The sequence below is a fragment of the Homo sapiens genome, chromosome 2 (genome assembly GCF_000001405.40).
Source record: "Homo sapiens chromosome 2, GRCh38.p14 Primary Assembly".
NCBI classification, from domain to species: domain Eukaryota; kingdom Metazoa; phylum Chordata; class Mammalia; order Primates; family Hominidae; genus Homo; species Homo sapiens.
The window spans coordinates 8,835,742-8,860,186 of NC_000002.12; the positions used below are offsets into that span (position 1 = coordinate 8,835,742).

At 43.5% G+C, this 24,445-nt stretch overlaps 2 protein-coding genes across 29 annotated transcripts in view, besides 5 other annotated features; both read right to left on the reverse strand.

Moving 5' to 3' along the window:
• KIDINS220 (kinase D interacting substrate 220) overlaps positions 1–1,872 on the reverse strand; it is a 116,533-nt gene extending 114,661 nt beyond the window's left edge. For all 16 annotated transcript variants that reach the window (NR_145965.2, NR_145964.2, NM_001348741.2 and 13 more), the window contains exon 1: positions 1,739–1,872. The gene's annotated coding sequence lies outside the window, so the exon portion shown is untranslated. The remainder of the gene's footprint in view (positions 1–1,738) is intronic.
• Positions 1,929–1,988: a silencer, noted in NCBI's record as "silent region_11129". NCBI's record gives its function as "represses an Ori minimal core promoter by ATAC-STARR-seq in GM12878 lymphoblastoid cells {active_cell/tissue: GM12878}" and the evidence as "EXISTENCE:reporter gene assay evidence [ECO:0000049][PMID:35858748]".
• Positions 1,999–2,048: a silencer, noted in NCBI's record as "silent region_11130". NCBI's record gives its function as "represses an Ori minimal core promoter by ATAC-STARR-seq in GM12878 lymphoblastoid cells {active_cell/tissue: GM12878}" and the evidence as "EXISTENCE:reporter gene assay evidence [ECO:0000049][PMID:35858748]".
• Positions 14,438–14,732: a silencer, noted in NCBI's record as "tiled region #5743; HepG2 Repressive non-DNase unmatched - State 21:Repr". NCBI's record gives its function as "represses a minimal TATA promoter and a strong SV40 promoter by Sharpr-MPRA in HepG2 cells {active_cell/tissue: HepG2}" and the evidence as "EXISTENCE:reporter gene assay evidence [ECO:0000049][PMID:27701403]".
• Positions 16,949–24,445, reverse strand: part of MBOAT2 (membrane bound glycerophospholipid O-acyltransferase 2) — a 150,995-nt gene continuing 143,498 nt past the window's right edge. For all 13 annotated transcript variants that reach the window (NR_135601.2, NR_135605.2, NR_135600.2 and 10 more), the window contains one exon: positions 16,949–23,163. Coding sequence is in view for 4 of the 13 variants with exons in the window: in NM_001321266.2 (NP_001308195.1) it covers positions 22,938–23,163 (226 nt within the window). In the remaining 9 variants the exon portion in view is untranslated. The remainder of the gene's footprint in view (positions 23,164–24,445) is intronic.
• Positions 19,177–19,728: an enhancer, noted in NCBI's record as "NANOG hESC enhancer chr2:8995048-8995599 (GRCh37/hg19 assembly coordinates)". NCBI's record gives its function as "activates a minimal SCP1, AML or CMV promoter by ChIP-STARR-seq in primed H9 embryonic stem cells {active_cell/tissue: H9 hESC(primed)}" and the evidence as "EXISTENCE:reporter gene assay evidence [ECO:0000049][PMID:30033119]".
• Positions 19,318–19,612: a silencer, noted in NCBI's record as "tiled region #138; K562 Repressive non-DNase unmatched - State 17:Gen3'". NCBI's record gives its function as "represses a minimal TATA promoter and a strong SV40 promoter by Sharpr-MPRA in K562 cells {active_cell/tissue: K562}" and the evidence as "EXISTENCE:reporter gene assay evidence [ECO:0000049][PMID:27701403]".

Genomic DNA, 24,445 nt, shown 5'->3' on the forward strand with positions numbered 1-24,445 from the left:
TCATTCAATCCTATTATCTCCTTTTCCTTGAAGTAAAAGGTTTAAGTTTCTACTGTCTTCTAAACAGCCCTGACAAATACAGTAGCACATAAAATGGAGAAACTGACCGTTCTTGAGCAAAAGCAGGAAGAAGGGGATGGCACATTCATACATGATCCTATAAAAATTAATCTGGCAGTGTATGTGACCCAGACTGGAAAAATACAAAGAATCAGGGCCCTAGATACCAGTCAAGGAATCACCAGACAGTACACAAGAGAGGCAGTGGGAATAGAGAAGAAATGAGGGATATTAACTTGAAAAATATAAAATCCCTGACATTTGAACTTTCTGAACTACCAAAATATCCAGAAGAGATATTCTGGATATAAAGATAAAACTATGTGACTGGTTGGAAAAGAAAACAGGTGGAAGATGACCAGATGCCCAGCATAGGTGACTGAAGAATGGAGCTGCCCTTAACCAAAAAAAAAAAAGCAGGAGAAAGAGCAGACTTTTCTCTACTTAAGTTATGCCTCCTCCCTTCCACCACCCCAGCTGGGCGAATGGGGCTTTGGCCAGGCTGAATTTGAAGTGTCCCAAAAGAACTAGGTTGGAGAAACCCACCCAATACTTGGAAAAAGATACCGTTCACACTGTGTGTGAATGATCTGGAAATTATTCACACAAAGGGTGTAGAACAAGGATTCTCAAACTTGTGTGCACCAAAATTATTTGGGAAGCTTGTCAAATACACATATCCCTTGAGCTCCTCCCCGGGAGAATCCCATTCCCTAGATCTGGGGTGGTGCCCAGAAACTGACATTTTAACAAGCACCCCAAAATGATTCTGATGAAAGTAGTCCATGCTAGTAAAGCTAGAAGAGAACAAAGAACACACCTGGCCACGGCATTTCCCAACCTGGGCTCTGCACTCAATACCCCACGGTGGTTTAAAAAGGTGTAGATGTCTGGTCCTCAGTGTTGTCAAAATGTGGACAGGAACGAACCTGAAGGGGTGATTCCCGAGCCACACCTCAGGCCGAAGGAATGGGAATCTCTAAAACGCTAAGAAATCTACATTTTTAACAAGCGCCCATAGGGAGCAGAGATGGCTGCATAGTTATTCATAAAAAAATTTTTCATCGGTTTAAACCTGTCAACTTGAAAGAATAAAAATTCCAACATTACAAAGTGATGAAGAAATTATTTCCCTATAAATAAATCTTGGAGGCGTGGAAATCAATGGCTTGCACTATTTTGCCAGGCGTTTAAAAGCCTGCACAGGACAATGGAGCAATGGAGCCCACGATAAAAGCAAGGGAGAAAACAACACCTCCCGGCCCGTGGAAGCCTAGGAGGAGGAACCTAGAAAGACTAGCGGTACCAGCTAAGGGGGCTCTCAAGGTGGTGGATGTGCCAGAGGCTGCTTGGCAAAAGAAAAAAAACGGTTTTACCAACACCCTTCACCCCAACCCACCCGAGGGGCCCCTCAGGAGACAGACCACCAGAGACTCCAAGGTCGGAGACCTTCCCGGCGCTCCAGGAAACGCGGACTCGCCCCGAAAGCCGGGGCCCGAGCGTCCGGGGCCCGCGCCATGCCCTCCCCGGGACCCCCGGTCCGAGCTCGCCCCTTCCGCGCACTCCTCGGCTGTCCCACCTCCCCGCCCGACTCCCCGAGCCCGGCCTCGCCCCCGACTCCTCCCCAATCCCGCGGCAAAGCTTCGCGGACCGGCCTCCACACTGACGGTCTCCCAACCTGGTCCTCAGCTCCGGCGGAACGGGCCCGCTCGGCTGCAGGCGATGTCAGAGGACGGGGAAGCAAGAGACGGCGACTGCAAGCGCGTCGCCCTCACCACACCCGGCGGCCATATTCTTCCCTCTCCGCGAACTGACAGATCACGTGCCCTGGGTAGGGGAGGGACTCCGGGTTGCCACGCCCCCTGGGCGTGGAGGGGAGGGGCGGGGCGGGGCGTAGAGCAGGCGGGGCTGGAGGGGCCGCGGGGCGGGGACACCCAGGACAAGCGCCCCAGGCAAGGTTTTTCAGTGTCAATGTCACTCTTATTACAGTTAATTTATTATCCCTATTTTCCATTATAATCAAGCTTATTCAGAGAAATAAACATCAATTATATCTTCAGAAGAAACTGCACATACATAAGAAATGAAAGCCCGCTCAGCAGCCTTCTTCCGGATCCAGGAGCGAGACCTCTGCCTTTCGCGGGGCCTGTAGTTCACACTCCTTCCAGGTCTCCCAGCACCTCCCCTCACCTCCTTCAGCCTCCACATTCCTAGGCCTTGCTGCCAACAAGCGTCAATCTTGATTTTTGAAAAGGTCCAAGGATGATTACGACGTGCGTAGGTTGCGAACCATCGAAAAGCACCCACCAATGTGTCAACCTGGCAACTCAGGAAAAAGCCAATAAGGAGCCTGACTTCATCAGAAGTTGGTGCGGGGTGGGGACAATGGCTCACTCCTGTAATCCCAGCATTTTGGGAGGCCAAGACGGAGGATCACTTGAGCTCAGGAGTTTGAAACCAGCCTGGGCAACATGGAGAGACCTCTTCTCTACAAAAAAAAAAAAAAAAAAAAAAAATACAAAAATACAAAACTTAGCCAGGCGTGGTGTTGCACACCTGTAGTCCCAGCCACTTAGGAGACAGAGGTGAGAGGATCACTTGAGCCCAGGAGTTCGAGGCTGCAGTGAGCTGAGATCACACCACTGCACTTCAGCCAGGGCAACAGGGCAAGATCCTATCTCCAAACAAACAAACAAACAAACAAAAACGGAAGTTGGTGTGCCCCTCATGAAACAAGGAGCGAACACCCCAACGTGTACAGTGGAGTCCTAAATGGTGTGATTTCTTCGATAATGACTTGCTAAGGCCAGCCACTGTTGTAAACAGGGCAGGGTGGGTCAGGCGTTGGGGGTTAGAAGTATGGTAGGTGTATTAGCCCGTTTTCACACTGCTATAAAGAACCACCTGAGACAGGGTAATTTATAAAGAAAAGAGGTTTAATTGACTCACAGTTCTGCATGGCTGGAGAAGCCTCAGGAAACTTAAAATCATGGCGGAAAGGGAAGCAAACACGTCCTTCGTCACATGGCTGCAGGAAGAGAGGTGCCCAGCAAAAGGGTCAAAAGCCCCTTTTACATCCAACAGATCTCGTGAGAATTCACTCACTATCACGAGAACAGCACGGGGGAAACCGCTGACGTGATCCAATCACCCCCGACCAAGTCCCTCCCTTGACACGTGGGGATTATGGGGAATACAATTCGAGATGAGATTTGGGTGGGGTCACAGAGCCAAACCATATCAGTAGGATATAAGGATGAAGCCAACCTTAGAGTAGGGGAGAAGACAAGGAAACAGGTTAAATGTGCGTTATTTAGCACAGCCTTTCTGAGTCCTGACCATGTCCTAGGCACAGTGCAGTAAGGAGGTAAGCACAGAGGATGGAGTTACCAACTCTGCTTGGGGTCCACTAGGAAGGTTCACAAAAGAAGGGACCCCCCCCCCCCGCACCTCCAGCTGTATCTGAAGTATAGTTTGTCCATCACATCAGTTGGATGGGGCTAGGAAGAATGTCCAGGTCGGGGAACAACACTTTGGAAAAGAATAGAGATGAGAAGGAGGGTGGCCCAAAGTTCCAGGAACTGTCAATATTTGCCAGCCTTGGGGCTGGGGTGGCAGCATGGGAGGGGGCAGTAGATGGAGCAGGGGTCAGCCTCTGAAGGGCCTTGAGTGTTAAGTACCATTTGGGAATTTGTTCTAGGGAAATAGAAGGCCACTGAAGGGATTAGAAGAGTATCAAATTTGTCCTATGGAAATAGAAGGCTGCCTCCCCCAGCATCCACTACCCTTCCCACCACCCCCCAACCCCATCTTTCCTCAGCCTCCAGCTGTTTCCCTCAATCCCCTCCATCCTCCTCTTATCCTCTCACTGCTTCCTCCACCCTCTGCCCCCACATCCTCCCCCAACTCTCCCCACACCCCTCTTCCTCCCATCCCCCCCTCTGTCCTCCCGTCTTCCTCCAGCCACCCAAGCCTCTCCAATCCTCCCACCACTTCCCCTAGTCCTCCTTCTGTCCTCCCTCATCCTCTTCCCTCCCTCTCTTGGTAGCACAGTTTAGCACTCCCTCCTGGAAATATTTCTTTTTTTTTTTTTTGGAGACAGAGTCTCGTTCTGTTGCCCAGGCTGGAGTGCAGTGGTGCGATCTCAACTCACTGCAAGCTCTACCTCCCGGATTCACGCCATTCTCCTGCCTCAGCCTCCCGAGTAGCTGGGACTACAGGCGCCCGCCACCGCGGTCGGTTAATTTTTTGTATATTTAGTAGAGACGGGGTTTCATCGTGTTAGCCAGGATGGTCTCGATCTCCTGACCTCATGATCCGCCCGCCTCAGCCTCCCAAAGTGCTGGGATTACAGGCGTGAGCCACCGCGCCCGGCCCCCTCCTGGAAATATTTCTTCTCCTGGGCTTCTATCCCATTCTTCTGGCAGCTCCTTCTCAGATTCCACCTCCCATGAATTGTTGGGGTTGCAGAGTTCTGTCCCCACTGGACTCACCCATACCCCTCCCACCCACCCTTGCTCCTGCGTCACTAGTTTCAGAGACCTGGCTCCAACCCTAACCACCAAAACCGGAAGTTGGAAGTCATCTTCCCCCTGATTAAATGGTCAGTTAATCAGCCCATCACCTGACTGTAGCCACTTTCATCCCAGTGATCTGTTTAAAGGCCTCAGAGCTCCCAACCGGGACTATCCGAATACCCCCAGCAACTCTCCCTGCTAACCCAGTAGCCCTGCTAACCATTTCTCCACAAGCTTGCCAGCTAATGCCACTTCTTTCATTAAACTCTTCAGTGGCCTTCTGTTTCCCCAGAACAAATTCCCAAATGGTACTTAACACTCGAGGCTCTTCAGAGGCTGGCCCTGCTCTGTTTCCTGCCCCCTCCCACGCTGCTACTCCCACCCCAAGGCTGGTAAATATTGACAGTTCCTGGAACTTTGAGCCGTGCTCCTTCTCATCTCCATTCTTTTCCAAAGTGATGTTCTCCAACCTGGACATTCTTCCTAGCCTCATCCAACCGAATGTGATGGGCAAATTCTATTTAAGATACAGCAGAGGGGGTCACCTCTTTTGTGAACCTTCCTAGTGGACCCCCACAGAGTTGGCCATTTCATTCTCCGTGCTTATCTTCGTACTGCACAGTGCCTGGGACAGTGTCAGGACTCAGAAAGGCTGTGTTAAAGAAGGCACATTTAATCTCTGTCCTTGTTCTCTCCCCGACTCTAAGGTCGACTTCATCCTTATATCCCACCATACCTCCGACACCCCCTCCTCCACCCCGCCCTGTTTACAAGAGTGGCTGCCCTTAGCAAAGCCATTACCAAAGAAATCACACCATTTAGGTCTTCATTGTATGTGTGGGGGTATTCTCTCCTTGTTTCATGAGGGTATGAACCCAAAATATCTGAGACAGTCTCAGTCAATTAAGAAAGTTTATTTTGCCAATGCTAAGGAGCACCCGTGACATACTCTCAGGCAGTCCTAAGGACATGTGCCCAGGGGGATCAGGGTACAGCTTGCTTTTAAACATGTTAGGGATGCATAACACATCAATCCATACATGTAAGATTTACATTGGTTCCATCTGGAAGGGCGGGACAGCTGGAAGGGAGGGGGTGCTTCCAGGTCATAGGTAGATTTAAAATTTCTCTGATTGGCAATTGGTTGAAAGAGTTATTATCAGTAGAAAGGGGTTTACTTTCTACTTTTTAAGACTTTACTTTTTAAGTCCAAGGTTTTATTAAGCAGGTGAAGCCGCCAAGTATCAGGCTTCAGAGAGAATAGACTGTCAATGTTTCTTATCAGACTTTATGTCTACATTGATGTTAATGCTGGAGGGATATAAAGAGGCCTGACTCCCTCTTCCATCATGGCCTGAACTAGATGTTAAGGTTAACTCTGGAATGCCCTTGGCAGAGAAGAGGGGTCCATGCAGACGGTTGGGAGGCCTTAGGATTTTATTTTTGGCTTACAAGCGTCACGTCAACTTCTGATGAAGCCGTCCATGCTCCTCGCTGACAACTTCTGATGAAGCCGTCCATGCTCCTTGCTGGCTTTCACCTGAGTTGCCGGGTTGACACATGGGTGGTGCTTTTCAATGGTTCCCGACCTATGCACACCGCAATCATCTTTTTAAAATCACCTTTTTAAAAATCAAGATTGACATTTATTGGCAGCAAGGCCTAGGAATGTGAATTTTAAAAGATCTCTCCAGCTGATTCTAATGAAACACCCTGTCAGACTTGGTTTCAGTTCCATTGTGTCCCAATCAGTGATTTCAAATACCAACATCCTTTTTTAAGGTCAAGCAATGTTTGGAGGACCCACAGAGGACAGCAGGTGTCCTTCTAGTCATCACCGATTGTGAAAGCAACACGGGAGTTGCAGTTTGTGTTCTCGCAGGGATCTGTAGCCCCAGAATGGGAAGCTGTGCTCCAAACATAAGGAACTATGCGAATAATCAGCAAGGCATTTGACAGCTTTTCTTGGTGGGTTTGTGGACACAGGAAGTGTGGGTTCTCTATCAGAGGTTGGTCACTGAAAGGGGTCACTGAAAGGGCTCACTGCAGTGTGCTGGTTAGTGAAATGATGACCCAGGAAGATGGGGCTCCTGAAGCCTTCGCCTCCCCCATCAAGCTCCATTTTGAGAAGGGCCGCCCTCATTCTAACCCCCACCCCACCTCTCTACCCCACCTCTCACCCCAAACCCCCTAGTACCTCTGCCCTCATAATTTCTGTAACTCCATCCCTCTACAACAAGCCCAGGACACTGGCTTTAAGCAGTTCCAGGCTCATGCCCAGGCCGAGCTCTGCCCACCGGGTGTGAGCCATACTGAGTGTGTGTGAACCTGCACAACTGAAACACGTCTCTTTGAGGAACCTGGAACACAACAGTGAGCAAGGCAGAAGGAGAGCGAGGGAGTGCTGGGCTCTCCAGCTTGGGTGGTCCAAACACCGCTGAACTTTCCTGGGGGTTCTCAGTAAAGAACTCTGCAAATGTCCATCTCAGAAGACACAGGAGGTTCAGTCCCAGACACCAATAAGACAATGCCCATGCCACCTGAACCTCCTGCTCCTCTCCCCAGCAAAGAAAAATCCCTGAGGATACGCAGCATGCAACTTGTTCTTTCTTAGGAATGTTTTGGAAAGCAATCCAGATAACAGCCTGGAAAGAAGTTATTGGAAACAGGCTCGGCTGTAGCCACATTTTGATGGAGGAGGAAAGGAGGGTCGGACGCCAGGTGTGGCAGGGGGCAGATGATGGCGGGCTGGTGATGAGAAACCCTAGCCCCTTCCCCCACTGCAGATCTGAACTGGAGAGGGGAGATCCTTGGGTTCACTATTTTTGCTATTATACTGGGCCAGGCATTTAATTACTAAAAATGATAATTTGTAATGACTAAAAGTGGCAAGATAACATTTTATGATGTAAAAGCGACAAGAAAAATTATGAAAATGATGAGCCCTACTCAGAATTCCTCCAGGGATGGGAGGCAAGAGGTCTATAGGCCCATAGGCCCAGGCATTCGCAGGAGTCGTCCTGAGGAAAAGGCAAGTTGCTTTGCAATTCTGCTGTACTGCATTCACCTGTCTCAAATGATGGTGACATTAGGCCAGGCGCGGTGGCTTGCGCCTGTAATCCCAGCACTTTGGGAGGCTGAGGCGGGCGGATCACCTGAGGTCAGGAGTTCGAGACCAGCCTACATGGCGAAACCCCATCTCTACTAAAAATACAAAAATTAGCCAGGCGTGGTGGCACATGCCTGTAATCCCAGCAACCTGGGAGGCTGAGGCAAGAGAATCAGTTGAACCCAGGAGGTGGAGGTTGCAGTGAGCTGAGATTGCACCACTGCACTCCAGCCTGGGTGACAGAATGAGATTCTGTCTAAAAAAAAAAAAAAAATTCATATGATGGTGACATTTAGTAAATTATATCTATTTTAATCACAAATATTTCCTCGCTCATGCCAAATGCTGTTTATTTCTTTCATACTTATGAGCTCTAAAACTCATATTTTACAAAGATATAACTGTTGTAAAGTATAACAAAAATTATTTCTCCTCAGTTTTGTTTCAAATATATCCCTCTTTCCACATTCTTTAGTTTTTCTCATGGTTCCTGGAGCCTAAATCTTTTTGGCAAACGCATCCCCAGGGTTTCACTCCAGCAGAATCACTCATATCAGCTGAAGGGTCTGTCTTCTGGACTTGCTATGTGGTTTTTATGTAGAGGGAAAAATAGGAGTTATCTTTCCATTCCTCACCACTCTGCCCATCAAGACTATAATTTAATCGCCCTTTCATCTTTTTTAACAGTATCAGCATACCGAGATGATGATTTCAGCAGTCCAGGTTTCAAGTTCATGGTAATTACATTTTCCATAGAAGTCTGAAGATGTTTTGCGTACCACATTGCTTTAAAAATTGTTCTTCTCTGATTATAAAAGGAATATGAGTTCATTATAAAGAATTTGGAAAATACGTAAAAATTTGAAGAGATAGGTCCCCTAATCTTATCACTCTGACTTCTTAAACGGAGATTTAAAAAATAATTTTTATTGACTGGGTGAGGTGGCTCAAGCCTGTAATCCCAGCAGTTTGGGAGGCTGAGGTGGGCAGATCACTTGAGGTCAGGAGTTTGAGACCAGCCCTGGCAACATGTCAAAACCCCATCTCTACTAAAAATACAAAAATTAGCCAGGCATGGTGTCACGTGCCTGTAATCCCAGCTATGTGGGAGGGTGAGGCAGGAGAATCGCTTGAACCCGGGAGATGGGGGTTGCAGTGAGCCAAGATTATGTCACTGCACTCCAGCCTGGGCAACAGAGCGAGACTCCATCTCACACAAAACAAAACAAAAGGAAAACAATAATCATTATTAACCAAACTCGCTATTGGAAAGGGGAGGGGTAGGAAGGATGCTCCTGAGATGTTATGTTTTGTGGGGTATGATGCTGTTGATGTCACTTCTCTTGATATCTTTGCCAGCTGCCTCCCTGACCCCTTTAATCAGTACATTCCTTCTACAGAAAAATATGTAGAAGGAAGTTTGCCTAACTCCAGGATGGCAGCAGAAAGAAAAGGAATACACAAGAGGACAACGTTTAGAACAAATATGAGAGGCAGGAGAAGAGAGGCAAATGCACAACCCTGTGTTCAAAGGCCCAGTTCAAATGGGGAGACACAGAGAGCAAGAGACAGAGACAGGGAGAGATGGTTAGAGGACAAAGAAAGGGACAACTGAGTTATCTGTTGTCTGCAGGTCATATTCATCAGTTCATGTGAAAAGCTGTCGGGTTTCAGTGGGGTTTCGCAAGCTCAACATACAGGGCAGACCATGTTCATGTTGCCCACCCACTGCCTGGCCACAGCTGCTTCACACTCTAGAGCTGCTTGCTTTTATTATTATTATTTTTTGAGACATGGTCTCACTCTGTCACCCAGGATGGAGTGCAGTGGTGCCATCAGGGCTCACTGCAGCCTCAAGCTTCCAGGCTCACGCAACTCTCCTGCCTCAGCCTCCTGGGTAGCTGGGACCACAGGCATGCATCACCACGCCCAGCTAAATTCTTTAATTTTTTGTAGAGATGGGGTCTTGCCAGGGCTGTAAAGCTGTTTTCATCATCAAATTCTTACCCATTAATAGAGATGGAAGACTTAGAGAGTCCTTCTTCTTGGGAGTACAATCTAGTTAGTGAGACAGGTGATATACTAATGGAAGATATTATCAGTACAAGATAGTATAGGCAAGAACCGAGGAAGTGGCAGCTCGGAAGAATGAGTGGTCTCCGGGGTTAAGGGGAGTTGCGTAAATGCCCTCAAAGAACGGGAACGGTCCGGCAGGGGTCAGGTGAATGATAGCAACCATAAGGTGGGATGGGCACCGCATGGCCAGGAGTTCTGCTCAGGACGGCCGTCCAACCACACTGGCTCACAGTCTCAAACCAAAAGTATTTTCAGGGCAACATCAAGTTAGCAAGAGGTTCAGTTCCTTCCTCTCTTTCTTGAAAATTGGGATCTTTGCTCATTTCCAGGGTCTTGGCATCTCACCCAATGTAGGTTGGCACCTTGAATCTCCATTAACCTCCAAAGCCAGAGTTCACTCACAGCACAGATTCCCATGAAAGGGAACAAGAACTGGAATAGAGACAGTTAATATTGCATTCGGTCCACTGGTGCATTTTTAACCCCTTCAACTCTATGAGAACTATGGGTTAATATTAATTTTATTGTGCCATAAAAAATTTGTAATTTGGATCTGCTAGTTAGCTTCATTTGATCATATGTTAAATGATCAAACAATTTTTTCTTGCTAAAGGTATATTAATACTTTAGGTCAGCATGTCATTTAGCAGCAGCAGCTTCTGTTTATCTTATTGATGATTGAGTGGAGAGGATGTGCGGCAGATGGGATGAGAGAAGGTATTAAATCATCTTCTAGGAGAAGGGAAAGCAGAGTGACATGGGCAGAACTGCCTGGCACTGCTAGGCACTACTAAGGTGAAACTAGGCAGCATGACGATGTCAGCCACCAAGGTGCAGGAGCGGGTGCAGCACAGGACGCCAGTGGATTTCAGGAGGACTGGCTTAGCTTTGTCAGGTGAAGCTGATGGAGGGAAACAGGAAGGACTTGAAGGGATATGCAACTGATGATTAGAATTTCACCCCACTGAGTCTCAGTGGGGTCCTGAGTAGGACATGAGCTAAGATCAAGGGGATAGAAGTATGGTGGTGAGCTGATACAGTCTGGATGCTAGAGGGGGTGAGATGGAAAGTTGGGAGGTGGTTGAGAATAGAATGCTTGAAATGAAGACTACTGGTAACAACAAGGTCTAAAGCATGTCTATTGGCGGCTTATGTAGAAAGGGGGGAAGATCACTGGAGGACTGCAAATCAGGGAAGTGAGAGGCCAGTGTGTTGGAAGGTTTTTCTACAGGGATACTGAAATCATTAAGAATCATGTGTTGTGTTGAAGAGAATGACAATAACCAAATTCTAATATTTTCTATTTTCTAGTAGGGGGTGACCCAGAAAAGTCTGTAGATGGTGGCAGCAAGGAGGAATGGGAGGTTTGATGTCAGCTAGCCTGAGCTGGATGCTGGTATCTTGGGAAGGAAGAAGAGACAGTTGTTTGCAGATAATATGGAGGAGGAAGGAGAGTACTTGCCTCCCCTGAAGGCCCAGTGATGAGAGGATTCAGAGAGACACCATCACTTCAGAGGGCTACAAGGAAGCTATGTCCTTACGTGAGATGTGGGTTTTCATTAGACCAAAAGGTGAATGGTGGAGTGCGAGCAAATGGGGATTGTTTTTATTTTGGTCTTACTGGTCATGGGCCATGAATTCCCAAGGACAGTGGTAGTGTTTGGGGAGTTGGAGGCAGGGGTGGTGGATGGACTGCATAGAGCTGCATGGGGGATAGCAAGGTTTCAATTTGAATTTTTTTTTAAGAGACAAGGTCTCACTAGCAGGCTGGCCTCAAACTCCTGGGCTCAAGCAATCCTCCTGCCTTAAATTAGGCATGACCTGGGTCTTATATATCCCTATGGTTGGGATAGATGCCACCATGCCCAGCTCAGTTTGAATATTAACAAAAGTGGAGATGATTTGGCAAACCTAAATATATTGAATGCTACGACTATGGACAAAGGAAAAAAAAAAACAGTCCCGTGTTTACAACAGCAGCATTAGGCTCTGATTGTTGAGCCATTCACACAGCAAGTTCCAACAAAGAGCACCATCATCGTGTACTTAAAAAGCACGACTCACATTGTAGTTTATGGGTCCAAATTCCTTATGGAATAAAATGTCAGGAACACATGATTGTTGGTGCAGCGTTTCCTAGTTCTTCATCATTCGTCAGTTTTTCTGTGAGCAAACTTGACTCAGAAAGTCAGATGATAAGTCAGACAGGCTGTTTCCTTATATTGGGTATATCCTGAATTATTCCACTGTCTACTTTTCTATTATTCTGGACAAAGTTTTAATTTTTTTCTGTTTATGTTCCTCCTGTCCCCCTGGAAAAAATTTTTCGGGAAACTACCGTGCACCAGGGTCAAGGAAGAGAAGTACATATCATGGCCCCCGTGTCTGGAATTTGCTTACCGCTTCAGTCTACAAATGTAACTTGACAGCTCATTTTCTGTCTTGATGGGTTGCAGTAGGGTTCGTGCACATGCGGCTTATTTAATCTGCATATTAACTACATCTATCATTTTGCTTTTGTCTTGCTGTCGTCCTTTTAATTAAACTTAGGTCCAGCCTGGGCAACATGGCAAGGCCCCGTCTCTACAAAAAATTAAAAAATTAGCTGGGTGTAGTGGTGCACACGTGTAGTCACAGCTACCTGGGAGGCTGGGGTGGGAGGATTGCTTGAGCACGAGAGGTCGTGGCCACAATGAGTCGTGTTCTTGCCCACTGCACTCCAGCCTGGGTGATAGAGTGAGACCCTGTTTCATAAACAAAACAAAACAAAAAATGTTAAGTGTAACAGGAAAAGAGAGGAATCGAAAATATGTTCAATCCAAAATGAAGTTCACAAACTTACTTTGTAAAATATATCTCCATCTTTTTTTTCTATCGATAGAAAAATGATTAGAAAGAAATCTACCAAAATGTTAAAGTTGTTTATCAGTGTTAGGACAACGGATCAGTGAAGAACTAGGAAACGCTGCACCAACAATCATGTGCTCCTGACATTTTATCCCCTAAGGAATGTGGACCCATAAACTGCTTGAATGTGTTTTACTGCCCAGGTCATGCCTAATATAAACATCAGGGAGGGAGTCACCAATTCGTGTGTGTGGTGAACCGATTAATTCCTAATCTGAGGGTTTAGGTGAAAAATATTTAATCTTGTCCACAGGACACTTTCAGTCTTAGTATTAAGCTTTTTTTTTTTTTGCCTTACTGCAAATTTTCTAAAATTCATCAAATTTCACAAAATTCTGTGGTTTGTGTGAATATGAAATGTATTTAAGAAGTATAGGTTATTTCAGTTTAGCAACTGTTTAACAATGACTGATTTTCTAAGTGATTCTGCTTACACCCAATTCCAATGTATGTGTTTTAAGTGTTTCTCATGCTTTCAACATAGCCTCAAGGTCCTAAACATGTTGACAAAATGTGGCCGGCTACCATGAATCAGTGTAGAGACTTTGGGAACTGTATCTGCACATCAGCTATAACTAGTGGCTAGTAATGAAGGCCCTTGGCAACAGAAGTCCCATAGCTGAGTGAATTAAGCTGAAGTAAACGTTAGATAATTCATGAGTTTGTAGACTGTTCTATATTGAGTACTCTATCTCCTTCTTTGGTTGTGAAGTACTTTTTGACTTTCTACAAACATATATATTAACAATGACAACACCATGTGGTTAGTGTAAGCCACACATGAGAATACTGAGCAGAGAACTTGTGTCTGGAAGACACAGGAAAAGCTGCCTGGAGAAAAACACCTTCTCTTTGAATGCTTAACATGCATCATAGTGCTTGGAGCATAGTACCAGTTCATCGAACGTTTCCTGATTAGTGACAAGGAACCTGAATCCTGGTGATGAAGCTGGAGCCAGCCAGGGAGGAGGGGTGGGGTGGATGTGGGGAGGAGGGGAATTTTGGGTAAATGGAGCAGCAGACACACAGGCTAGGAGGCAGGAGCAAGTCAGACAGTGGGGCAGGTCCAGCTACTCCGCATGGCTGGAGGATGAGAGTGAGCATGTGTGTACTGGCAGGGCAGCAAATCAGAGGGAAACATGACGAAGCAAAGGCAAGCAGCTGCCAGACCACAAAAGTCTTTTATGTCACATTAAAAGTTTGCATTTATCACAAGCATTTCAGAGGAAGTTTCACCTTTTTTTTTTCTTTTTTGAGACAGGGTCTCGCTATGTTGCCCAGGCTAGAGTGCAGTGGCGAGAACACAGCTCAACCTCCTGGGCTCAGGCGATCCTCCCTGCTCACACTCCTGAGTAGCTGGGACCACAGGCACACACTACCAGGCCTGGCTAATTTATTTTTTGTAGAGACAAGGTCTCACTATGTGCCCAGGCTGGTCTCGAACTCCTGGGTTCAAGTGATCCTCCTACCTAGGCCTCCCAAAGTGCTGGGATTACAAGTGTGAGCCACTGCGTCCAGCCCAGTTTCACTTTTGAAGCAAAATTAAAAAAATATCTTTAGAAAGATGACCCCATTCTGTATTGTAGAGAATGGACTGAAGGAAGGCATGACTGGAGAATGGAAGTCCGGTTAGGAGGCTGTTCCTATAAACTAGATGAACAATTGGGAGGGAGGGCAATGAGATGGAGTCGGTTATCTGGGGGGTGGGCACACAGGGTTGATGAGGTCAAGATGGTACACAGGTCTCTGACTTGGGTAGCCAGGGAAATAATAATTAATGAGATAGGGACTATAAGAGTTATCACAAGCTTTGGGGCTGATGGAATGAGATGATGGGTTTCGTTTTAGATGTTATGAGTTGGAGGTGCTTTGAGTTTTGTATGGAGATACTTAGCAGGGAGTTGCATACATATTGGTCAGATATGGGAAAGGGAGGAAGGGCTGGCGGGAGGGGAGTTAGGCAGACAGATGTGTGCTGGAGGGAGGATCCGCACAGAGGAGCTGTAACAGTAGGTGTGTATGCTCTGAGAGGAGGAAGAGGAGTCTCAGGAGACTGAAAATGATTATCCTGAGAGGCAGGAAGAGAAGGAAAGAAGGATCGTTACACAGAGCCAAGAAAATAACTTCAAGAAGAACATTTGACTTGTCAATATAGTCAAATGCTACAGAGATAAAGTGACATAAAGAATGAAAACCATTGAATTTGGCAACAAAGAGGCCAAAAATGACCTTTGTAAAAATGGTTCAGTAGAGTGTTGGGGACAAAAGGAACACAGAGGTGGTGTTGCCTACTCCTCTGAGAAGCTCCGTTGGAAAGGCTAGGGTTGTAGAACAGGTTGCCATTACTTTTTAATTGGTCCTTCCCTCCTATGAAAGAGGCTTGATCCTAAGGCAATGTGAATATAGTATTCTTCTTGAGGCTAATGATGCATGCGTTAAAAAAGGGTGGAGTGACAATGAGGATCTCAACTCTCCAGTCTCTGGTGCCAGGCAGCCGACTTTCCCAGTAATGGCTGAAAACAGCTGGCATCTAATCTCAAATCTCAGGCCTGTCTTTCTAGGGTCACTCTCATGTTCACCCCTCACAAAGGGACGGCACCCAGGAAATGGTCTCCCTGTCCTGGGCCACAATGCATCCAGCTCCGCGCTGCTGACCCATCAGGACCAGAGCCCCTGCTAATGGTGAGGCTCAGCCTGTACCAAAAGATACAACTGGGATCACTCAGCAGGAGGTAACAAAAAAGAAGATTCAAGCACAAAACAAACTTCAACAGTAGGTACACAGTCGGAAAACAGAAAAGCTTTCACCAGGAAAGAGACATGCAGTATTTAAAGACTTAAAATCTGAGCTGACATCTGGCTCCAGCAACAAGCTGACTGAGCCAACACAACCCATCATGCCACAAACACTGAGAAAAGCTATCAGAAATGTAACACCAAGTTATGTTGTAAAATCACACAGCTAAGCTCACAAGAAAGGCAGCCAAAGGCAAAGCCCCCCAAAGAGGCCCATGCTGACATCGCCGGTACCCCTCGGGAAGGAGAGAAGACCAGGACAGGGGGGTATGCTGTCCTTATGTGCAACATTCTTCTCATGCGAAAAAAAAAATGAACCTAATGTGGCAAAGCAGTAACATCTGTTTAGTCTGAGGGTGGGCACACAAGTGTCTATTATATTGTTCTGTACTGAACCACCTGCGTGAAATATTTCATTGACGTTTTAAAAAATTGGCTAATTTCCTATTACTCCTTTTCCCAGTTGTGGGAAATGTTATTAAACAGATAGACATATTGTTGGTACATAATAGAGCTAAACTTGCTTAACTCACTTTTTATTATATTTGTGTGTAATACTTTATAAAATTCTTGGCGTAGCTTTTCTTTCTCTAACTCCCCACCTCCTCTTTCTCAGCCCAGGAAAAGCCTTCCTCAGGGATCCAGGAGCCAGCTCCTCTGTGGAGCTCTCTCGCACTCAGCTCTGGGTCCTCACTCCTCCTCCTATTGCCAAGGCCCCTTGTGAATGCCTCCAATAAAGCACTAATGGTGTCACATGGTCACTATTCACCAACACCTTGAGGACAAGGGTAATGACTTATTCTTCTTACCCAGCACGTGGGTAGGAGGGATTCTGAGTCTGTACTGCTTTTGGTCATGGCCCAGTTTCAACATGGTCTTGAACCTCAAAATGGGGTAACTTAAATCTGGCATGAAATTCTAAGGTCTTCCAGAGAGAAAGCACTAGGAATGGACCTGTGAGTTTGCTCAGCCTAGCATCTCTATACAAGCGTAAAACAGAAGACGTTTCCCTACAATTGTTCACAACGGCATAAAGGAAGAGCCCCCAGGCACGCTCTGAAGTTCTTCTAGGTCTGTGATGACACAGAAATCTAGCAGAGTCCCAGCGCTCTGCTTCCCAGTAGCCACACCCGTCCTCCCACAGGAGTGCTGCGAACCAGCTAACTGCAGGGCCTGGGAGGTGGGCGTTCCCTTTCAGCTGAGCAAAGTCAGTATCTTCTTCACTTGACAAGTCTGTTGTAGGAGAGAATACAGATACTATACACTAAGTTAAGGTTGTTTTAATTACCTTCCAAAGTGCTTATGACAATAGTTTCTTTTAAATAATCTTTAAGCAGTTAAAGAGTCAATGACTCTTCAGAATATTATCACCATATTACTAAAGAATCCTTCAATAAAAATGACCATTAACTCTCGTAACAGGGCCAGTATTGTTCTATAAGTGGAATTAAAAGCCTAAGATATTAGCAAACACACACACGCATATTTTTAAACTACTGTTTAATCAGTTGTAAAGACACACAAATTAGAAAAAAAAAACATGTCCTAAACATGTTACATGTAAGTTAAAAACACCTTTAAAAACCAGCAATAAGCCACCAGTGCAGCTCTGACAGACTAGAAATGAGTGGTTATGAAATGAGCACATCTCAGTTTGACTGACACAGTGGGAGTTTTAATTTACCGTACATCAGGAACTAATTTATGAATCTGTTGAAAAATAACACTTCTTTAAAAAAATATTTTGGAATAATAAAAACAGAAAGCACAGAACACCACATTCTATTCTCAACTTGGGAAGGCAAATGTAAATACTAAATTCTGGCTGCTGGAGTTGGGTCTCTCCTCATGTTTGGGCGACTGAGGGCTCAACTACTACTAGGCAGAGATCAAGACAACGTTTAAAGGAAGGCAGGAATGAAATCACACATTTTCACTCTGTATATGGAAGAATTTCTCACTTCACCTGAATGATTTACTTTCATTCCTATGGCCTTCTATCGTGCCCCTTCTGGTTCAGAGGAGCAGTCACATAAAAGTGACAAGATGGACAAGACTGGTTTGGAACACATTTGTGTTCAATGTTTGATTCCTTTTTCCTTGTGATAAAGCCAGAGGCAAATGTACTTCATTGATAAATCTGTGTGCGCAGAACCAAAAATACATAAAATTGGGAAAGAGGCATATTTAAAAAGTCTGTCAAACTCTCAACATATATTTTCGTCCTTTAATGCAAAAGGACAGGGGGGAATATTCAAATTGATTTCCCAAGAAAATTAACCTAAAATAGTGAACGTGAAACAGCTAAGACTCTGGTGAAAGGCAGTCAGTCACCTTTCCCATTTCAAACATGTTACTAAGAAACTGCCTAGTCATTTTACTTATGTTGCTCTGTAACTTTTGGTTTTTCACTGTAGCATTTCCATTTATTTTTAGTGTGTGATTTGATAAAACATGGCTGGAGATGGCTATGAATCGCTGAGTAAGCTTCAGACAGCGGTTCTGCATGGGTCATCACACTATAATTTACAGAACATACAGTCTTAGTGTTGTATTTTTTCTTTATAAAAGTTGTACTTAAAGAAGAGTTATAATCAGTTTTAAAGGCAAGACAAATTAGTTGGTGTAAAAACTGTGTATTTAGGCTGTGTTTCACAAAATTTCCCAGTCAATGGCCTATGGAACGTGTCAGTTCTTTATTGGGATTTGCATAATGTTAAAAAACCTATTAAAATAAATATTATTTTAAAACATACAAAAACATTATTCAGCAGCCTACCAATTAAAATGTAATTGGCTGCAACCTCTGTACAAGAAAAGCCTCAAAAAGCAGCTTAAGCATTGATTATAAGAGCTTTCCTACAAAATACCGATGTGGAAAATTTCATTTTAAAATTTCTGTTGTAATCAGAGTTTCTATAAATAGATTTGACTACTTGGTGTTGCAGAAAAACACTGTAGAGACCCTCTATGTTCTAATCTTTCAAACTCAAATTTCAGGGTGTATTTCTCTCCTTAAATGCAAATCTTTTGCTTCAGCATTGGGAGCACGCGTTCATCAAGAAACCCACTTTTACAAGGGCTGGAGAAAACAGAAATTTCAGCATCTAAGATGAGTGTATCAACGACCAGCCACTCATTAAATGCACACTGGGTTAAATGCAGCAGTTTTATAAGGTATTGAGGGCAGTTAAGATTACATCTCACAGTGTTATTTAGGATTCTGCACCTATATTAAATTTCAGCCAGGAAGAACTATTAACGCCTGGATAAAACTCCACAAAATACTAGCTTATATCTAAAACTCTGGACAAATTTTTAGCTGACACAGATATAGTAGGCACTATTCTGAAACAATTATTTTCTCAAGTAATTTTTCTTTCAATTATAATGTAGAACTGTTAAGACCAATTAACTAATAATTGTGAACAGTTGATAAGGAAACAAAAAAAGTATAAATGTCCAGATTTGTTCATGAATATACAAACTAAATACTTACAAGGTATGAACTTTAAATAGGAGAGATTTTTGTCCTAAAACTGTGATCTAGTCCTTGAGTAAAAGTATAAATTTATAATTATTTTAATGGCAAAAATTTTAAAGCTATTGTTTTCTGCGGTTTAAAATAAGGTGTAACTAAACTAAATATGCTTTAAATATCCTTGAATAACTTTGAGATGTTATATAGTGGTAAACCCTGTCCAGTAGTCAGTAATCTGTATAAAATATTTCAGAGCATATATCTTCTCCAATTCCACACAGCACAGAAACCAACAAAGCAGAGAGAGCAAAAGGAAAACATGTTTTCTTCAGCAGAGACTATTTCATTATGAAACACTCATTGTAAGAGCTATTGCCAGTAGAAAAAGTATGTTGCCATGCCTTCTGATTTAAGGGATTCAGAGGTTTCACTGTTATCATGACAACCTTTTGAAATGTCAGGGCTTTGAGCTCAAGTAGTAAGTCAATGACCATGACAATAGTGTGGACTGTGAATGTGCCCAAGTCCTTGAATCCTACAGACCTTGCTAATGGCTCCGTTCACGACACCCAACTGGTCCTGAACTCTTAGGATTAACCCGTTTGCTTATGGCTGAGGAACTTGGGGTCTACAGGACAGGTGGCTCCTCCAAGTCTTAAGTCTCATGAAAGGCAGAACCAGAATGAAGATCCAGGTCTCCTCCTAGGTCAGCTAGTGCTTAAATGTGAGTTACTGTCACTTTCTAGAAACCTCCTTTTTACTGCACATTTTTCTCAAAAGTGGTATGTTTGGAAATCCTGTGTGTGTCACACATGGTGGAGACCAATAAATATATTTTTGAAGCAAATGGGCAGTAGTGGCTAATAAGAGAAGTGGTCACCAGACATTTTTGAAGCCAAATAAATCTTCTCTATCCTGCCGGATATTTTAGAAGCTAAATAAATTCCCCCAATTACCCTGAGTTCCAATAAAAATACTTACTTTAAGAACAGAATGAGCCACTTATAAAATGGTGACAGCTGAGGCATACCAAATTATACTCTTACTGTTTCAAGAAAATGAAATTGAAGGATGAGTAGTTATTTTTGTTCATTTTTTCCCTGAGTAGTATATAATTAACCAAAAGTATAAATATGATGTTGATTGATCATCTCTAGAGTGATTTCATGATACCTGAATAGTGGAAAATATAAAACATAAATATGCATTGAATCTTATTCTATTGATTAAAAAAAAGCAAGCACATAATACAACGAATCCCCTTTCTATTTAACAGGAGTAGACGTACCAGTTTAAAATTCTTCTACTGTAAGTACTAGAAGCAAAATATTAATCTTTGTGATTATTACTTCTCCAAACTAGAGGAGAGATATCCAAAAACCATTTCATGAAAATAACTAGTTGATTCAGGGGTATGAAAATCAGTCAAACTGGATATGGAATTATTATCTTCGAAGGAACCAGAAAACCAATCAAATATCTTGCTTTCTAGATGACAGTGCCAAGATCATATTCACTGAGCAAGAAACAGGTAACAGTGACTAAGGTTTACAGGCTGAGAAATAAATTCAGGTAACAGAAATGTGATTATTTGTAGGTGGCTAGATAGGCTGAACCAAAAAAAAACACACACACACACACACACACACACACGAACAAAACCCAACAAGTTTGTATTAAGCCTTCTTGTTTTCACTTATGACATGCCTGAACCTGTCTTTTAAATTCTTAATTTGTTCACTTTCTCTTAATAGCAGTCGGATTCTCTGCAACATTAATGAAAATGATCAAACATTTTACAGGGCAGGTACATTCCATGAACATTCTTTCTATTCTCTCACATTAAACAGCTGGCATAATTTCTTTTTTCTTTTTTTTTTTTTGTGAGACGGAGTCTTCCTCTGTCACCCAGGCTGGAGTGCAGTGGCACAATTTTAGCTCACTGCAACCTCCACCTCCCAGGTTCAAGCAATTCTCCTGCCTCAGCCTCCCAAGTAGCTGGGATTACAGGTGTGCGCCACCATGCCCGTCTAATTTTTGTGTTTTCAGTAGAGACGGGGATTCACCACGTTGGCCAGGCTGGTCTCCAACTCCTGACCTCAAGTGATCCGCCCACCTCGGCCTCCCAAAGTGCTAGGATTACAGGTGTGAGCCACCATGCTCAGCCAACATAATTTCAATGCATGGGAAAACAGAGGAAATTTATTTAGTTATCAATCCTTTCCTGGGTAGGGTTAGCCTTATCAGCCGGAAAACACTTACTTTTAGATAAATAAAAATAGATTAGGATATTTCTAAACTTCAAAAAAGACACATGCCCATTTTTGCTGAGACCTCAAAAGCTGCAAGTGCATTTGCTTTTCCTTTCTTCTTTAAATGAAGTATTATATAGCATAAGCCAGATGGTTGCCTTGTCTTTAACTTCATTTGCAAATTTATTAGTGACTCCACCCCCCGAAAAAAAGAGAGAGAGAACCCCATCACAGAAAATTTGCATTTCATTAAAAATTTAAGGCAAAAAGTAAAAGTAAGTTCCATACATAGGTCAAACAAAGGTGAAGTCAGAAGGCTTTGCCCCCTCCCCTCCTACAGGGCAGGAGGTACAATCTGGGGCTGAGGCCACTCCACTGCCTGGCATCAAATCCCACTCTTCTGCTTTCAGCTCCTGTGGCCACCACAGTCCTCTGTGGGATCGCAGGAGATGCTTAGTAATCCAAGGCAAGATTAGTTGTGGTAAAAATGGCCCATAAAATAAAAGCACATTTTTCCACTTACAGAACCTAAAACTCATTTTAGTAAGAGTTCACAGCAAAATTTTAATGTGAGAAGAGTTTGAAACTGAATTTATATTATTCTTAAAAAATGTCACCCAGACTCAGTGACTTTTATTTTTCATTTCCCTAAAAGTTTCCCAAATATGAATTAAATTGTCAAGGATAAGAAATGGATTAGCCAGATAGTAACCTACCTAGCGATTTCTCTTTCAAAACCTTTGAGCAACCTACCAGTATTATTTTCAAAGCCTCTAATTCTACATAATTTATGCCTGATAAATTTAATTTAGAAGTCCAAAGTATCACGAAGTCATTCAACTTTTTTTTTAAGTCTCACATGACGGCGCAGAGCCCTGGCATGGGGGGGAAGCTGCCTGCAGAGTCGCGGCTGTGCCCCGTGCATTCCACCGGAGGCCACGCAGTGCTTCTTCATTCCTGCCTTCCTTCGTCACCTCTCTCTTTTAAGAAAAAGAATAAGCTTAAAATATCACATTACCAAACCTCTCATTATGTTTTAAGAGATTCCTTCTGGAAGCGCTCTTTGACTGCACAAGGTAATTAAACTCTCCAGCAAAATCAGCTACCTATAATTTGGCGTCCATTACTGTTTACAGTTTCACTATGGATTGTAGTCATTTGACATACTTTAAGAAAACCCTTCAAATACTGAGATGTTTATTGCATTTTAAAAATATCCACACTCTTAAATATCCTGTTTCAAATTCCTCCTAAAATCCTTTACAGCACACAACATCAACTACTGCAGTAGCGTTCTCACAATATTACACTTGAAAATACCATTTAGGAACAATATTTTAGGAAATAGAGGGTTTAAGGCAAGACATTCATTTGGAAAAGTTAATTTCTCTCTATCATCCAGATTGACACGATTATTTTTCCACCTCTTCAGTGCCTTGGGATACGCAACATACATTCAGCAACAGGGCACGCGTGTGACCCTACGGACAAGTGCTGAGGTTGGGAGTGCCCACTGAAATATGGAAATATTCTTACATAAGGCGTGGCCCACGGAGACATGGCATGGGAGGGCTTGTTTCACTCCATTTCCAATCTGGTGTACAGGAAATTCCTTATCTATAACTGTCCATTTCCCCCCAGTTAACTGCTTTTCCAACAAACTCAAACCCCTTGAAAAGGTGCTAAGATTGGTTTCTGTTAACATCAAAAAAAAAAAACAGCCCTCAGAGCCTTCCCGATCACTGCTTTAGTGATGAATGTCTCGAGGCTATTTCTTGATTCTGATTGCAAACATTGTTTGTTGTAGAAAAACTGTTCTGTCCCAAAGAATTTTCTCCTTCATCAAACTTTTTGGATTGTGAGAGCTGAATGTTTTCATGTGTATTCTTTCTTCTTTGAGTTTTTTTCACTGGCAACAACAATAATACTAAGATACCAAGAATGTGCAGGCAATAATACCAGGAGCTAAAAGAAAAAGGGAAAAAGTTTATTAAAACTTGATAATTAATAATCCTTAATAACTGCACACTTGTCAAAATGTCACATGGCCCACCTTAGGATGTATTTGTTTACTACATTACTACATTATTCTTTTATTTTTCCCCCTCAGGAGAAGAAACCTGACAGTGTAGGCCAGTGGGTATTTATAGCACTGGATAAATCCAGGCTAATTAGAAGCCTGATTTTCTAGATAGCATATTACATTCCTTTGTAAGGGTCAGAAGGCCATGGTTAAACAGAATAAAAACAAAAATGTACATATTAATACCGGTAGCAATCTGAAAATCTCCCCAATCCAGATAATCAAAAGTTGAGTCAACAAAGAAAATGTGGAGATAGTTAAGACTTTTACCAGTCTGGCCTCACCTGCTATTTACTGTCTCTAAGTTACAAATATTCTAACGGAGGGGAGTGACAGAGAAGCAATATTGCTTCTTGATGGTTACTTTCATGAAGCAAAGAAAGGCCACATTATTAAAAATATTGAAAACATCATTTCTCAAATTATATAAACCAAATGTAACCTAAACTGTATCTATAACTGTAAGTTCAAGTGATTCTGAACAAAGTTCCTGGGATAGAAAATCTAACCCACAGCCCAATCACATTTTTAAACATGTACTAATTTTGTTAAAATGGAAACTGTAGCAGGACTTATTTAATGTCTTCCTGTATAATTATTGTCATATTTGATTCAATAATTTTTTTACGACTCTGTGCTAAGTCATTCTAAATGCTAGAGTAATAAAGAATTTATAAAAGAATAAAGTTTTTGATCTCTAAAATATCACCATCTAATATGGGGAAGTGGAATTTGGTGGGCAGGGAGAGGAGATAAGTAGATTATAAAAATACAGAATTCGAGACAAGACAATTTCTATAATATACAGATCACCACAGTATCAATCAAACATAAAAGACACAGTGAAAAGGAACAAATAAAATATAATTTATTTTCCTTAGGCTGGGTGTGGTGGCTCATGCCTGTAATCCCAGCACTTTGGGAGGCCAAGGCGGGTGGATCACGAGGTCAGGAGCCTCAAGACCAGCCTGGCCAAGATGGTGAAACCCCATCTCTACTAAAAAAAAAAACAAAAATTAGCCGGGTGTAGTGGTGGGTGCCTGTAATCCCAACTACTTGGGAGGCTGAGGCAGAGAATTGCTTGAACCTGGGAGGCAGAGGTTGCAGTGAGCCGAGCGAGATTGCACCACTGCACTCCAGCCTGGGCGACAGAGCAAGATTCCG